The 13,913-nt window shown below is 43.5% G+C and overlaps 1 protein-coding gene across 2 annotated transcripts in view, besides 5 other annotated features; it reads left to right on the top strand.

Moving 5' to 3' along the window:
* Nucleotides 1–13,913, top strand: part of XPO6 (exportin 6) — a 113,990-nt gene that overhangs the window by 11,058 nt on the left and 89,019 nt on the right. The window lies entirely within an intron of this gene.
* Nucleotides 7,129–7,358: an enhancer, noted in NCBI's record as "active region_10639". NCBI's record gives its function as "activates an Ori minimal core promoter by ATAC-STARR-seq in GM12878 lymphoblastoid cells {active_cell/tissue: GM12878}" and the evidence as "EXISTENCE:reporter gene assay evidence [ECO:0000049][PMID:35858748]".
* Nucleotides 8,613–8,785: a silencer, noted in NCBI's record as "fragment chr16:28203444-28203616 (GRCh37/hg19 assembly coordinates)". NCBI's record gives its function as "represses an EF-1alpha promoter that drives an FKBP-Casp9 reporter gene in an ReSE screen in K562 erythroleukemia cells {active_cell/tissue: K562}" and the evidence as "EXISTENCE:reporter gene assay evidence [ECO:0000049][PMID:32094911]".
* Nucleotides 11,401–11,540: a silencer, noted in NCBI's record as "silent region_7305". NCBI's record gives its function as "represses an Ori minimal core promoter by ATAC-STARR-seq in GM12878 lymphoblastoid cells {active_cell/tissue: GM12878}" and the evidence as "EXISTENCE:reporter gene assay evidence [ECO:0000049][PMID:35858748]".
* Nucleotides 11,933–11,982: an enhancer, noted in NCBI's record as "active region_10638". NCBI's record gives its function as "activates an Ori minimal core promoter by ATAC-STARR-seq in GM12878 lymphoblastoid cells {active_cell/tissue: GM12878}" and the evidence as "EXISTENCE:reporter gene assay evidence [ECO:0000049][PMID:35858748]".
* Nucleotides 13,067–13,236: an enhancer, noted in NCBI's record as "active region_10637". NCBI's record gives its function as "activates an Ori minimal core promoter by ATAC-STARR-seq in GM12878 lymphoblastoid cells {active_cell/tissue: GM12878}" and the evidence as "EXISTENCE:reporter gene assay evidence [ECO:0000049][PMID:35858748]".

Here is a 13,913-nt window from a genome sequence, read left to right as displayed (position 1 = left end):
TAGTCGTCGTTAAGGGGCCCTCATGCATACCGCGTAGGGTATTTGATTTAATCTCTCATAGCCACCCTGCCAGGTAGGTATTATGTTCCCATTTTATAGTTGAGGAAGATAAGGACGCTGAGGCCCAGGGTGGGTAATGCTAAGTAACTTCTCCAAAGTTACCTAGTGTTCTCTTCATCTGGGCTAAGAAAATAAAAAACCAAAAAAACAGAAATCAGAATTACCTAGTGAGTTGACAGAGCCAGGATTCAGTTCTAAGGTTCCAACTCCAAGGCCCATGTTTTTTTCTAGATCACTAGGTTTCTTTTTTATGAGACGGAATCTTTACCTGTTGCTCAGGCTGGAGTGCAATGGTGCAATCTTGGCTCACTGCACCCCAGCCTGGGTGACAGACGAAACTCCGTCTCAAAAAAAAAAAGAAAGAAAGAAAAAGTAGTATGACTTGAGGGCACAGTGGTAGCTGGTCCATATTACAGGACATCAACAAAAAGGAAGATTGCTTGATTTCTTTGAGTTTTAATTCAGGTAAGCCCATTAGGCTTAGCATATGCAATAGGTTCATTTCCATTAGAGGAGCCTGCTGCTGTTTTATATGAAGGTTATAATGAAAAAGATCTCTGGTCTAGGGCTCCCTGAAAAGTTAAGGGTATTTTATAAGCCAAATGGAGCTGGAAGGAAAATCGTTGGTTTCTAAACTCATTAATAATCAGACCTGAGAAGTTCTGTCCTTTCCTTTCCCTTTTCTTTTTTTGAGATAGAGTCTCCCTCTGTTTCGCCCAGGCTGGGGTGTAGTGGCGTGATCTTGGCTCACTGCAACCTCTGCCTCTGGATTCAAGCGATTCTCCTGCCTCAGCCTCCCGAGTAGATGGGATTACAGGTGCCCACCACCATGTCTGACTAGTTTTTGTATTTTCAGTAGAGACAGGTTTTCACCATGTTGGGCAGGCTGGTCTTGAACTCCTGACCTCAGGTAATCCACCGCCTTGGCCTCCCAAAGTGCTGGGATTACAGGAGTGAGCCACCGTGCCCGGCCCAGGGAAGGCCTTTTAAAAAATTCATGAGGAGGCCAGGTGCAGTGGCTCATGCCTGTAATCCTAGCACTTTGGGAGGCCAAGGTGGGCAGATCACAAGGTCAGGCGTTCGAGACCAGCCTGGCCAACATAAGTGAAACCCATTAGCCAGGTGTGGTGGTGGGTGCCTGTAATCCCAGCTACTTGGGAGGCTGAGGCAGGAGAATCACTTGAACCCAGGACGTGGAGGTTGTAGTGGGCTGAGATTGCACCATTGCACTTTATCCTGGGTGACAGAGCAAGACTGTCTCAAAATAAAAAGGCCGGGCATGGTGGCTCACTCCTGTAATCCCAGCACTTTGGGAGGCCGAGGCAGGCGGATCACCTGAGGTCAGGAGTTTGAGACCAGCCTGACCAACATGGCGAAACCTGTCTCTACTTAAAAAAATACAAAAATTAGCTGGACATGGTGGTGGGCACCTGTAATCCCAGCAACTCAGGAGGCTGAGGTGGGAGAATTGCTTGAACCCGGGAGGTGGAGGTTGTAGTGAGCCAAGTGCTTTGTTATTGTCCAGGAAATTATTCATCTGCATTTTGTTTTTAGAGAAAGATAAATTGAGTGATCTATCAAGGATTTTTTAATTTTAGGGGCACATGTCATCAGGACCTCCTGAGGCTGTGTCACGGACTCATGTCCTTTTAAATAAAAACATTTTTATAAAAAGGGTTTGTTTATTTAATTTAATTTCATTTTTTTGAGACGGAGTTTCACTCTTGTTGCCCAGGCTGTAGTGCAATGGCACGATCTCAGCTCACTGCAACCTCCACCTTCTGGGTTCAAGCGATTCTCCTGCCTTAGCCTCCCAAGTAGCTGGGATTACATGTGACACCACGCCCGGCTAATTTTTATATTTTTAATAGAGATGGGGTTTCACCAGGTTGGCCAGGCTGGTCTCAAACTCTCAACCTCAGGTGATCCACCCACCTCGGCCTCCCAAAGTGCTGGGATTACATGTGTGAGCCACTGCGCCTGGCCAGATTTATTTATTTTAAATATGTAATTTTGAGATAATGTAAGACTTACGGAAGAGTTGCAGAAATAGTATAGGGAGTTTTTGTAAGCTCTTCTCCCATAGGTACTTACTAACAAACAACAAAACTGCAGCAGCCAAGCCCTCCAACATTTGTGACCAACAATTTATTTTTTAAAAATTTTCTTTTTTTTTTAAATTTTAAAATTATTATTTTTTTTCTTGTATCAGGATAGGATCTCGCTGTGTTGCCCAGGCTGGTTTTAAAATCCTGGGCTCGAGCAGTCCTCCTGCTTTGGCCTCCCAAAGTGCTGGGATTATAGGTGTGAGCCGTTGTTCCTGGCCTTGTGACCAATAATTTAGCTCAGTTTCTGTGCCTTCTTTATTCTAGTACTGCTAGACAATTAAAGTAGGTGCTGATGCTACTGTAGAAACACAAAATCTTCTCTGCCACTTCTTGATTTTGCTTAGTTGTTATTATCCTGATTGTAAAAAGTATTTTGAACTCTAGAATATTTGATAATTAAAAAAAAAAATTACCACCATTGGATTCAATCTCTAATAACATTTTGATTTGCTTCCTTCTAGTCTTTTTTCCTATTTACTTTTTCAATATGGTTGAGATTACACTGTAAATGCACTTTTTTCTTCTGCCTTTTCCGCTTTATAGCATAAGTGGCTTTTCAAATCATTAAATATTTTATAAATATTTGCAGTGGCTTTATAATACCGAATTGCATGGATTTTTAAGCAGTTCATTGTTCTGTTTTTTGCCATGGTAAATAATAATGTGATTAATGTCTTTGCGAAAACCTTTGTATGTATTTTAGAAAATTGCCTTAGGATAGATTCCCAGAAGGGCCCAAGGGTATGAGGGTTTTTTTTTTTTTTTTTTTTTTTTTAATAAACTTAGATGTAGTCTGAACAATTTTTTTTTTTTTTTTTTTTTTTTAAGAGTCTCTCTGTGTTGCTCAGGCTGGAGTGCGGTGGCGTGATCTTGGCTCACTGTAACCTCCGCCTCCCGGGTTCAAGCAGTTTTCCTGCCTCAGCCTCCCAAGTAGCTGGTACTGCAGGCGCCCGCCACCACGCCTGGCTAATTTTTTTTTGTATTTTTAGTAGAGACGGGGTTTCACTATGTTGGCCAGGCTGGTCTTGAACTCCTGACCTCGTGATCTGCCTGCCCGGGCCTCGCAAAGTGCTGGGATTACAGGCGTGAGCCACCGCGCCCGGCCTAGTCTGAATATTTTTAAGGCACTTCATCACATGTTTTCCAGAAAGGTTACACGAGTTTATTCTTCCCATCAGCTGTAGATAAATATCCTCATCAGCGTTGGGTAATCTTAAGAAAATTGTCGCTAATTTAATAGGTTAAATAATGGCTTCTCATTATTGTTCCTCAGTATCTTTTTCTGTGTGTCTATGTAGGAAACTTATCAACAAGTTAGATTTTATTTTTTGTCTGTTTATAGGAGACAGATCCCTTAAGCTTTATTTAGGTATCCCTTATATTTACATTAATGTATTAGAAATAGTGGCTTAACATATTTTAATTTTTTCCAGTCGTAAGTTAGTTACTTTTCAAAAAGCTGTAGTAAAATACACATTATTTTTTTTTGAGTCAGAGTCTCTCTCTGTCACCCAGGCTAAAGTGCAGTGGCGTGATCTCAGCTCACTGCAACCTCTGTCTCCCGGATTTAAGTGATTCTCCTGCCTCAGCCTCCCGAGTAGCTGGGATTACAGGTGTTAGCCATCACACCCGGCTAATTTTTGTATTTTTAGTAGAGACGGGGTTTCACCATTTTGGCTAGGCTGGTCTTGAACTCCTGACCTGAAGTGATCTGCCCGCCTTGGCCTTAAAATACTACATGTTTTAGTCTGTTTTGTGTTGCTGAAGGAGTATTTGAAGCTGGGTAATTTGTAAAGGGAAAAGGTGTATTTGGCTCCCAATTTTGGTGGCTGAAAAGTTCAAGATTGGGCATGTGGTAAGGGACTCAGGCTACTTCCACTCCTGGTGGACGGTGAAGGGGAATCTGTGTGCAGAGATCACAGGGCAAGAGAGGAAGGATGAGAGTGAGAGGAGAGGCGCCAGGCCCTTTCAAACAGCCAGCTCTCAGGAACTAGGAGAATGAGAATTTACTTACCCTCACCCCCCGAACTCCTTGCCAGGGAGGGCATTAATCTTTTTATCAGATATCTACCCCCATGACTCAAACACCTCTCATTAGGCCCTGCTTCCAACATTGGGGATCAAATTTAGGCATGAGATTAGGTGGAGACAAACCACATCCAGACTATGGCAACACATAACATAAAACGTCACCATTTTAAAGTATGCAGTTCGGTGACATTAAGTGCATTCACCATGTTGTGTAAGAATCACCACTCTAGTTTCACACTTTTTCATCACTCCAGAGGAAACCTGTACCCATTAAGCAGTCATTCCCCTTTCTCCCTTGCCCCAGCCCCTGGTGACCACAAATCTAATTCCTGTCTCATGAATTTGCTTATTCTGGATATTTTATATAAATTATCATACACTATATGGTCCTTCCTTATCTCCGAATGCATAAAAAGATGACATAGATTAAGTAAAAGTTGAATTGAATCTGTATTTTGAAAATAGAAATCCATCTGTGGCAGCAGTCTTAAATTCAGCATATTTAATTGGCCAGGATGTCCCATGCCCCAGCCACTAGGAAGAAATAGTTTATACCAATAGTTACTGCCAGTGGACAGAGGGTTATAGACCTTGGGGTAGGATGGAACCTAAAATAGAGACAAAGACAGGAAAAGTATGGGGCTTAGAGAGTGAAAGCCAGTGAATGGCAGGCAGCACATTCCATGGTGGAATAAACAGAAAACTTCTAGGCATTTACCTTGATTTGGAGTGCAAATTGGAGAACTTGCAGGTAAGTGCAAGTTCTTCCGTGATCAAAAAAATAACCAGCCTAAAGAATGAATGTTTGTGACAGTGTCTAGTACATAAGACCTTAGTAAATGTGCGGAGTTTTGCTTAAGAGCAAGAGTGGTATTTGGGATGACAAGGACAAGCAGAGAGGATCCCCAGGCATCTCTTTCTCAGTGTTTGACATTTTCTCTCTTTCTTTTTCTTTTTGAGACGAGTCTCTCTCTGTCACCCAGGATGGAGTGCAGTGGCGTGATCTCTGCTCACTGCAACCTCCGCCTCCTGGATTCAAGCAATTCTTCTGCCTCAACCTCCCGAGTAGCTGGTACTACAGGCTCACGCCACCACACCTGGCTAATTTTTGTATTTTTAGTAAAGACGAGGTTTCACCATGTTGACCAGGCTGGTCTCTAACTCCTGACCTCAAGTGGTCCGCCCGCCTCAGCCTCTCAAAGTGCTGGGATTACAGGTGTGAGCCACCACGCCTGGCCATGTTTGACTGGGATCCTTGGGTGTGGGGAAATGTGTTTTTAGGTGAGTAGTTTTCATGGTTCCATATACATATATGTATAGAGCTTATTCACTATTTTTCATAGTTAGTAGGTGTTCTACAGTGTGGATGTACCTTATTTAACCAATCCTGCCTTGATGGAAATTTAAGTTGTCCCCATTCTTTTGTTTTACAAACGGCATTGACATGAAGATCCTTTACACCTAAGCTTTGGAGGAAAAATCACCAAAAGTGTATTGCTGGGTGAGGTTGTCTTTGTGTTTGAAATTTGATAAATATTGCTGACTTGTCTTGGCCCCCACTGAGGTGGCACCAGTTGTCTTGCCATCCCTGTATGAGAGTGAAAGATGTAATTTCAGTTCATTATGGTCGGTGTCATGTTGAAGCCCACAAGGAGTGAGGAGCTCTGAGGGTGGGGAAGGGGGAACTGCATTAGGCTTCACAGAGTTGGGGACCTTTTCGAGGAGTCAGGAGCATTCTAGATAGAGGAAATGGTGTGTGTGAAGACATGGAACTGTTATGTGGAGAGAAAAGGGTGAGTTTGGGTTTGGCTGAGGCAGAGGGTGGGTGGGTGGCTGTGGATGGTGAGGTGGGGACAGTAAGTCAGCTAGGTTAGGGCCAGGTGATGAAATGGTTTAATCACCCCTGGTGGTCAGGTAGCAAAGACCCTGGGCGGCAGTGGTGATGGGGCTTGCAGGTGAAAGATACTTGAGAGAGAATGTACGACCAGTCTTTTTAGCAATCTTTTTTTACCCCCGAAAAACTTTCTAGACTTGTTAGAACCAGAATCACAAAGCTGGGAAGGGCTTTAGTGCAGGGCTTTTCTGGTGCTCTGTAGGCCCATAGGGATTCTTGGAGGTGTCACAGACACTAGGTTTGGGAGTACAGACAGGCATTTGAGACCCCCTCCTCTACCCTTATTAATTAAGCAGTTTCTCATTTAGTCTGCTTTATATGGTGGGGTTCTATGCAATATTTCTTTCTTTAAAAAGAAAAAAAGTGTTTGCTGCTAGAATCATGAGTCTAGTCCCAAACTCTTACTGTCCTGAACACAGATGGAGGCCTGTGGGACACGTTTTCATTCTTACATTCTTCGTTTGCAGCAGTGAGAGGTGATTTGTATATAAAAATGAAAGTGAAAAGGCATTTGGCATTCTTGGGATGTTTTTGAGCATTTAGCTAATTTTTTATGTAGGATTTTTATTTTGTTCCTTTTTTTTTAAGCTCATTGACTCACCAGTGAAATATCTAGTGAAATAGTTTTGCTCATTTATGGATGAGGGTGCTAAGGGATTTACATCCATTGATGTCATTCCCATAGCTACTTGGTGAGGGGGAGTACTGTTGAAAGTTCATTTTGCAAGTGAAGAAACTTGAGCTCCGAGAGGTTAGGTAATTTGCTCAGGGGCAAGCAGATAAGTAATCAGGAAGTCATCATTAGATGCGACCTGCCCTGATTCCACAGCCCACACCCTTCAGTTCATGCTAAGGCCTTCCCAGGACAAGCGTACCCAGCCACCTGTTGGGGGTGGAAGGGCCCAGGAAGAAGAAGGGTGTTGGATTTCTGGTCAGTCTTGGCTTTGGGCTGGTGCCTGTAGAAGGGGCAGAGCTGAGAGACGGACTGAGTCACTTCTAGCAAAATTGGTTGAGAATCGTGGGACGGGTGATGCGTGCTTGCTGTGCGGGGATTGAAGGCTCATGGAAAACCCCATGTAGAGTTATCATCTTCTCTCTCCAGGGATGTGAGCAAGGCCAAGGTTATTGGCCGAGTACCTGTTTCATTTCACCTGTGCACCGACTCCCTCCAGAAAGGCGCCATCTGCTTTCTTGCTGCTCACTGCCACCACAGTCACCACTACCACTGTTTTGCCTTTCTAATCCAGTGCCTCGCCAGTGGGGTGGAGGGATGGAACTGTGTATAGTTCCAGTATTACAATATAGTTTTTTATATTGTACAAGTTTTAGTTTATTAGTGGAACCCGGGCACATGAAAGTCCCTGGTTAGAGAGTTGCTTTGCAGCGTCTTCTCCCTTTGTGGCTAGTAATGATCTGCGGGGATGGGAGGAGCATTGAGAACCTATTGGCCATGAAGAGTCACTTCCTCCCGACACAGATCTCTGCTTGTGCAGCGCCCCCACACTTCCTGCGTAATGCAGTGCCCTCAGAGATCCCCCAGCAGCTGCCACCCCGGCAACATTATCTATATTTGCAGGGATACTTAAGGACCCTTTGGCAATTGGCAGTGATATTTTGAGAGCCTTTGAGGAACGTGACTGAACATGAATTTTAAAAAAGTATAAAGGTGGCACTAGGTGTATTCAGAGGGACAAGCTGGTGGCAACTTAGGGGGACTTTGCCTTTATAAAAGGAGACCCACACATGGAGTTTACGTAAGAAGAACTTACAGTGAGGGAGAGATGACTGTATCAGCCAATACAGATGAAGAATGCTCCAGGAGCTTGCGGGGTTTGCCCACAGTGCCACAGACTAGACTCAGTAGAGCCAGGACTGGCTCTAATCTGGTACTTTCTCTGCCTGCCATGCTTGGCCCTGTACCCCTCAGTGGCAGCACTGTTTCCCATTAGAGAAAACAAACCTGTTAGTTTTCTCATTGCTTATGTAGAGGGTAACCTTCCTGTGTCCCCTCATTCTTGCTTTAGCCTACATTCAGGGGGGTTTTGACTGCACACCAGGTGGGAGCAGTATTGGGGCACATTCTTCTGGTCCTGTCTCCACCCTCTCATTTCTTCCTTTCCATAGGAGTGATTTATCTGATTGGTACACCAGGGAGAGCCTCACTCCATTGGTCCACATCTACCCAGTGTGAGGTCACTGCATCAGAACACTGCCTGGCTTTGTGCTTGAACTCTCTCCCCTGCTTACCCTTAAGAGAAGCCTGTCCTTAGCTGTGTCCTACCTTCCTTTTGTGGCTAGCACCATTCTTTGTCCCTAGGTCTGGAGGCGGGTGGCAAGGCCAACTAGAAATGGGAAGGGCGAGGCATTGCAGCTTTGCCATTGACAAAGAGGATGGTAGACTTTGGTTTGCTCTTGGTTTCTTGAGACTTTATAGCAACCGAGTGGAACCTGGAGGGGATGATTATGCTACCCCAGTTCCCAGTAGTAATGTGGTCTAGAGATTTTTACCAAAGTCAAATAATATTATAACTTTTTTTTTTTTTTTTTTTTTTGAGACGGAGTCTTGCTCTGTCACCCAGGCTGGAGTGCAGTGGCCCGATCTCTGCTCACTGCAGTCTCTGCCACCTGGGTTCAAGTGATTCTCCTGCCTCAGCCTCCTGAGTAGCTGGGATTACAGGTGTCCGCCACCACCACTCCTGGCTAATTTTTGTATTTTTATTAGAGATGGGGTTTCACCATGTTGGCCAGGCTGGTCTCGAACTCCTGACCTCAGGTGATCTGCCTGCCTCAGCCTCCCACAGTGCTGGGATTACAGGCGTGAGCCACCGCGCCCAGCCATTATGTTAACTTATTTAAAATGCCAAGTCTACCTGGGAATAATTCAGGATGAAGGTGGTTTTACAAGAGACTTGCTCTTAAATAGCACAGGTGGTAATAGCAGCTGAAATGAAATTACTCACCTGAGCAGTAGCGTTAATCATCATGTTAGATTTGCAGCATGCTTTTATAGTGGTTCGTCAGTTTCATACTCATTCATTACCTGATGTCATCCAATGCCAGGTAAAGCCAGCTCATTCATCATCCTTAAAACCCTTGGAGCAGAACTCCTCTGTGCTTCCTCAAGGGGTGTAGGAGCTGTCACTGGGCAAGAGCTCTGGTGGCCTGCCCCTGTCTTCACTTGACCCACAGCTAGCTGACTTTGGGAGGATGCTCTCTCTCAGCTTCATTTTCCTCATTGTAGAACAAGATTGGACTTGCTGTGCTCTGGGGTTTGTTTACTTCTGTCTTAAGATTCTGTGATCGTGTTTTAGCATTTCTTGGTAGCTTGCCTTGTGTTAATGTGCCCAGTAAGTATCTTTTGAGTTTAATACTAGGCATGCAGATATAAACATCCATCCTCCTGGGATATGTACCTGGGAAAGGGAAGCAGATGGGACTGTGAAGACAGAGCCTACTCTTGGCTGTATTACTTACTTTAGACAGTTTCTGCAGAATAACTATTTTTATCATTTACTTTTTTTGGCTGTTTAATTAAGCCTTCTGACTGGAATATAAATAAGTATATAAAATATATGTATTTTAGCTCCTAGTGGATATGGTTTGTTGCCCAACCAGTAGATGCAAACATTTTAATGTCTAGGCTGTGTAACTGTGGTGAAAATAAACCTGGCACCTGAGAGAATAATTCTTTCCTATTGTATCCTTTTCTCCATTTCTCTTTCCCATATGCCTAGCTAGCTGGGAGCAGCCAGGGGCAAGGTAGAGGGTACCGGCCAGTGGATGGTATTTTAAAAACTGTTTATTTCAAAATGATTTCAAATAGAAAGATTTCAAGGAATAAGTTATACAAAGATCTCTCATACCCTTTACCCAAACTCACCTACCGTTAATATTTTGTCCTGTTAACGTTATTTGCACGTTCCCTCTTTATATGTATATATAGACATATATGCATGTACATGCATGTACATTCACACACACATGTATTTTTTTCTGAACAATTTTAGAGTAAGTTGCCTTTGTCATGGTCCATTGCCCTATATCATATATTTCTTAATAGGGGCATTCTCCCACATGACTATGGTACAGTTACCATCTTCGGTTAATAGAACATTGATTCAGTACTTTGATCTAACCTACTACCACCTGTATTCCAGTTTTGTCAATTGGCTCAGTCATGCCTTTCATAGCATTTTTTCCCTCCAGTCCAGGATCAATCTGTGGTCAGGTGTAGCATTTACTTGTCATGCTCTTTAGTCTTTAGATTTGTTGTTTAAAATTATTGAAACCAGGCTGGGCACGCTGGCTCAGGCCTGTAATCCCAGCACTTTGGGAGGCCGAGGTGGGCGGTATCGCTTGAGGTCAAGAGTTCAAGACCAGCCTGGCCAACATGATGAAGTCTTGTCTCTAATAAAAATTCAAAAAAAATTAGCCAGGTGTGGTGGCGGGCACCTGTAATCCGAGCTCCTTGGGAGGCTGAGACACGAGAATTGCTTGAACCTGGGAGGTGGAGGTTGCAGTGAGCTGAGATTGTGCCACTGCACTCCAGCTGGGCGATAGAGCTAAACTCAGTCTCAAAAAAAAAAAAAAATAAAGAAAGAAACTGGTGCACCTCTCCATTGGTAGCTGATTGATGAGTCTTGTTTTTATGCATTCTCCAATACTATGTGGATGAGGTTTCCCAGCATAAAACGTACCATCCTCTGTATACAAAGATGTTTCCTCTAACTGGTCTCCATGGGGAGAAAATATGCTGCTTCCATGTTATCACTGCCACAGTGGGATCAGTTGAACTTCCTGGCCCAGACACCCGGCAGTCATCTTGCTTCTAACTCTTGGTCCTCAGCAGTAATTAGAGGAAGAGACAGACAATCTGACTGGGCACTTTGTGCAAACCCAAGAAATAATAGAGGAATGTTCTGCCATCGATCAACTTTATGGTAGTTTTAGATTAAAGCAGAAAAGTGCTTTTTAATGACTAAAATTATGTTTAGATGCAGCCAGAGTGTATGTTTTAATCAAATATTAAATGTCTGTGTGAAGATATTGTGCAAAGTTATGTCTAGATCTAAGCTGCAGACAAGAAAACAAGAAGCCTTTCTCATGCGAGGGGATGACTTTGTTCCAGATTGTGTTAATAGAGGGGTGGGCGCGCCTGCCCAGCCTTAGCAGTCCTGTTACATGCTGTGGTTGTCTGTTTGCTTCAGTAGAAGACATTTTTTTTTCTCCTGCAACTCTTGTACACAATGTTTAGAATGAATTACATCAATGTATATTTGTACCTCGGTCTTCCCTCTGCTTGGCCTTACGCTGTCCTATCACAGTCAGGCTAAGGAAAGGAACTCACATGGGTGTGGCTGGGGCTGAGATTCTGGCTGGCTGCTCACTGGCTGTGTGTCTTTGAGCGAGTCATCCAGTGTCTCTGGGCTTCCCTGATTGCCCTGCTGACTGCTAGACTGTGGAGGGTCAGTGGGCTTCACCACTTTTTCTTTTTTTTAAATAGAGGAATAAAGTGAGATTTCCACTTCAATATGCTGTGCTTTTTTTTTTTTTTTTTAAAGGAAGTGTCAGCTGGGCGCGGTGGCTCGTGCCTCTAATCCCAGCACTTTTGGAGGCTGAGGCAGGCGGATCGCTTGAGCCCTGGAGTTTAAGACCAGCCTGGGCAACATGGCGAAACCCCAGCTCTACAAAAAATACAAAAATCAGCTGGATGTGGTGGTGTGCAGCTGTGGTCCCAGCTACTTGGGAGGCTGAGGTAGAAGGATAGCTTGAGCCCGGGAGATAGAGTTTGTGCCACTGTACTCCAGCCTGGGCGACAGAGCAAGACCTGTGCCTCCAGAAAACAAAAGGAAAAGGAAAATATCTACGGGCTGGGATGCAAAAGAGCAGTAGTGACCGGAGGGAGAGATGGGAGGAAGCATTGTTCTGAATGTCGTTCTCCTGACTGGGGCTTCCTTGATGCACTTTTCTAGCTTTCTGGCTTTTTGAGCTGAATGACTTCAGGAGGGGGATAGGTAGATGTCACTCGCCCTGGTTCCCATGCATGTTATTTTAAGCTTAGTATTTCATCTCATACTTGTGTGCAGGCCTACAGGTCAAAGATTTTTTTCTCTCCTTTTTTTTTTTTTTTTTTTTTTTTTTTTGCAGTGGTGAAGGGTGTAGGGAAGTGAGAGTGATGATCTGAGAGTTTAGACATCTATGGTAATCCTGTTAGCTTTCAGAGAAAGTTTACATGAGTTTGAATATCTTTGCTAATCGCATGTGTTGTAACACACCGGATATGTTTTGCATACTTTTTAACCTTCGTTGGCAGCAGGGATAGAATCACTTTTCTTCGAAACCTTTATATACAGCAAATAGGGTAATGACACTGTTCTAGATATGCCACAGGGATATTTGAATGGCACTCTGGGATACTAGTCCTCATTTTGTTGAGGTTTGGTATCTATGAGCCCATGAACCTGAATATAGGAGACCCATATGATTCACCTCCTAGTAGATTATACAAAATGAGGCTCTGGGAAAGGATGGCAAAAAGCTTAATAGAAGTGTCTTTAAAAAATAGTCATTTTTGGCTGGGCATGTTGGCCCATGCCTGTAATCCCAGAACTTTGAGAGGCATAGGTGGGAGGATTGCTTGAACCTGGGGGTTTTAAGACTAGCTTGGGCAACATAGCAAGACCCCATCTTTATTTAAAAAAAATTTAAAAAATAGTCATTATTCCCCAAGATTAATTTTGTAAAAAGGTTATGCTTAGAGGGGGTTGTTTTAGAGGCCATTAGGTAACATATTACAGATTTAATCAGGGTTTGAGGAAACCACCTTCTAGCTGCTACATCTTAGGGAAAAGCACCTTATTATCCACCTTCAGTCTCAGTGTTAGCAGTCTCCTGTTTTTCAACACAGATTGAATCTGCGTGTGAGCAGAAGTCTGCTTATGGTCAGAACCCTTAAAGGGGAAAATGTAAAGAGTCACATGTATCTTCAATTTGGAGGAATTACCAGTATTCTTGAGAAACTGAAAGTGATACCAACAGTTTTCTTGTTCCTTTTACTGTCTTGAATTTGGTCTTTAAGATAGTTGAGCCACCAGCCCATGGTAGATATTGTAGAAAATACAGACATACTAGATAGAGCATCTTTCCAGACAGTTGATGTTCTGGGTAGAGAAGCCTAATATCTATGACGTATGAACAGTGACTTTCAGCCCACACTTCATGCCTGACATTGTGTTTACTATGTATTTTACATTTTATTTAATTCTCAGAATGACCCAATATGTTAGGTACTTTTACTGTCCCCACTTGTGCACAAGAAGAAACAGTGACACATTAAATAACTAGGCCAAGGTCAAGCTGCACATTTGGATTCAAACTTGGGGAACCTGACCCTAGAGCCTGCATTTTAAAACTTTTGCCATTCTGAAATGACCAGAGAACAGCACCAAGGGCAAAATTCTGTAGTACTGATTACAAGACAAAGACACAAGATGTAAATGACCTGATCTGTACTGTAATCTGTGTAGGAAAATTCATGAAGGTTAAACTATAAATTGCAGTCTCAGAAGCAAATGCAGGATGGGGCTAGGTACTCGCTTATGAGACCATGAGTGTTCAGATTGGAGTGGCTTCCTATGGCGAGTGACATTGAATCAGGCATGCTTTCCTTCTTATCCTCCTAGTAAACTTCCTTGCTCTTCAAAACCCAAATCACCCCTTTGAAGCTTTCTTTCCTTCAGATAGAGTTAGTTTTCTCTTTGGTCTTCTGAGGCTGTTTATATGTACGCCAGGACTACAGGATGTAACTGCTAGGCCACCTT

The sequence above is a fragment of the Homo sapiens genome, chromosome 16, assembly GCF_000001405.40.
Source record: "Homo sapiens chromosome 16, GRCh38.p14 Primary Assembly".
In the NCBI taxonomy this organism is placed as follows: Eukaryota; Metazoa; Chordata; class Mammalia; order Primates; family Hominidae; genus Homo; species Homo sapiens.
This window is presented reverse-complemented; position numbering and strand designations above follow the sequence as displayed.